Source organism: Homo sapiens, chromosome 8 (assembly GCF_000001405.40).
Source record: "Homo sapiens chromosome 8, GRCh38.p14 Primary Assembly".
In the NCBI taxonomy this organism is placed as follows: Eukaryota; Metazoa; Chordata; class Mammalia; order Primates; family Hominidae; genus Homo; species Homo sapiens.
The window spans coordinates 140,490,653-140,493,171 of NC_000008.11; positions in this window are offsets into that span (position 1 = coordinate 140,490,653).

Below are 2,519 nucleotides of genomic sequence, written 5' to 3' on the forward strand. Positions count from 1 at the left end.
TGCCCCGCGGGAAGGCAGCTAAGGCCCGGCGAGAAATCGAGCGCAGCGCCGGTGGGCTGGCACTGCTGGGGGACCCAGTACACCCTCCGCAGCCGCTGGCCCGGGTGCTAAGTCCCTCATTGCCCGGGGCCAGCAGGGCCGGCCGGCTGCTCCGAGTGTGGGGCCCGCCAAGCCCACGCCCACCCGGAACTCCAGCTGGCTCGTAAGCGCCGCGCGCAGCCCCGGTTCCCGCTCGCGCCTCTCCCTCCACACCTCCCTGCAAGCTGAGGGAGTGGGCTCTGGCCTTGGCCAGCCCAGAAAGGGGCTCCCACAGTGCAGCGGTGGGCTGAAGGGCTCCTCAGGTGCTGCCAAAGTGGGATCCCAGGCAGAGGAGGCGCCGAGAGCGACCGAGGGCTGTGAGGACTGCCAGCACACTGTCACCTCTCACTATCTCTTTTTTTTTTTTTTTTTTTTTTTTTGAGATGGAGTCTTGCTCTGTCGCCCAGGTTGGAATACAGTGGTGCAACCTCTGCTCACTGCAAGCTCCGCCTCCCGGGTTCACGCCATTCTCCCGCCTCTGCCTTCCAAGTAGCTGGGACTACAGGTGCCTGCTACCACGCCCGGCTAATTTTTTTGTATTTTTAGTAGAGACAGGGTTTCACCGTGTTAGCCAGGATGATCTCGATCTCGTGACCTTGTGATCTGCCAACATCAGCCTCCCAAAGTGCTGGGATTGCAGGCGTGAGCCACCGCGCCCGGCCATGAGACCCTATCTTTAAAAAAACAAAAAAATTAGTTGGGCATGGTGGCATGCACCAGTAGTCCCAGCTATTCAGAAGGCTGAGGTGGGAGGATTGCTTGAGCCCAGGAGGTCAAGGCTGCAGTGAGTTGAGACTGCACCACTGCCCTCCAGGCTGAGCAATAGAGCAAGACACTGTCTCAATTAAAAATAAAAATATGGTGCCATAAATGGTGTATGAAAACAGAGGAAAAAAATCAAAGTAAAAATGAGTGAATGAATGAATGACATGTAAACATAATTGGGATGAATTCTAAGCACACCGACCAGGACCTGAGGTGCGTCTGGAATCTGCATGGCTCCTTCCCCGCTCCCACTCACTCTGTTACTGAGGGATGCTGACTCACTCCCGCCTTCAGGTTGCCAATCTGTAAAGTGACATAAAACAAGCACTTACATAAATAGTTCCTTCCAAAGTGAGAAAGGGGGCCAGGCACGGTGGCTCATGCCTGTAATCCCAGCACTTTGGGAGGCCCAGGCAGGCGGATCGCTTGAGGTCAGGAGTTCGAGACCAGCCTGGCCAACATGGTGAAACCCTGTATCTACTAAAAATACAAAAATTAGCCAGGCATGGTCGCGCATGCCTGTAATCCCAGCTACTTGAGAGGCTGAAGCATGAGAATTGCTTGAACCCAGGAGGTGGAGGTTATAGTGAGCCGAGATCACGCCCGTGCAGCCTGGGTAACAGAGCGAGACCCTGTCTGAAAAAAAAAAAAAAGAAAGAAAGGATTGAGGTGATTCATTGGCAATAGGGTAACAATACCATTTGTCATTCAAGCCAGAACATTTCTGAGAGTGAAAGGGAAATCTGTTAGTAATTATGCTGGTTTAAAGTGACTTTCCTGGCAAACTTCAGACACACAGCTGTTCATACATGGGCAAAATTAATGAATGGATGGATGGACAGACATTCACCTGCTGTGAGCTCTGCGCCAAGCTCTGGAGAGTCCCTCTTCACACTGGCTGGCTCCGTTCTCACTCTGCCCTGCAGGTGGGTTCTGTTCTTCTTTTATGGCTGGGGAAGGAGGAGCCCAGAGAGCTAAAGCAACTGCCTAATGCCACCAGACCAGGAAAATGGACAAAGATTCTTTGCTTGGCCAATCTTTAGTCAACTTCAGAAACTTCTCCAAGGCCCACCTGGGTACTTCCTTGTAAAATCCAATTTTAGCAAAGAACTCCTCTTTTTTTGAGACGGTCTCACTCTGTCACCCAGGCTGGAGTGCGGTGGCGCGATCTCAGCTCACTGCAACCTCCGCCTCCCTGGTTCAAGGGATTCTCCTGCCTCAGCCACCCCAACTAGCTGGGATTTCAGGTGCCTGCCACCACGCCCGGCTTATTTTTGTATCTTTAGTAGCAATGGAGTTTCACCATGTTGGCCAGGCTGGTCTCAAACTCCTCACCTCAAGTGATCCATTTGCCTCAGCCTCCCAAAGTGTTGGAATTACAGGCATGAGCCACTGCGCCTGGCTGAGTTTTAGCAAAGAACTCTTCTAAGTCAGTTTACCCCACCCTCGATATCCAATTAGGTTACTTATTCTCTCTGCCCTGCAGGTGGTGTCTAAGCACCCTGGCCTGTCTTCAGCAAGCATCCTGCTAGGCTGGTTTAGCCCGCATCCCCTTACTCCCAATGCTTTCTCTTAGTAATTTTGCATCTGCTGTTCCCCACCCTGCTCCTTGGCTGTATGTAAATCCTCACTTGCCCGTGCTGTATTCGGAGTTGAGCCCACTCTCTCCCCAACTG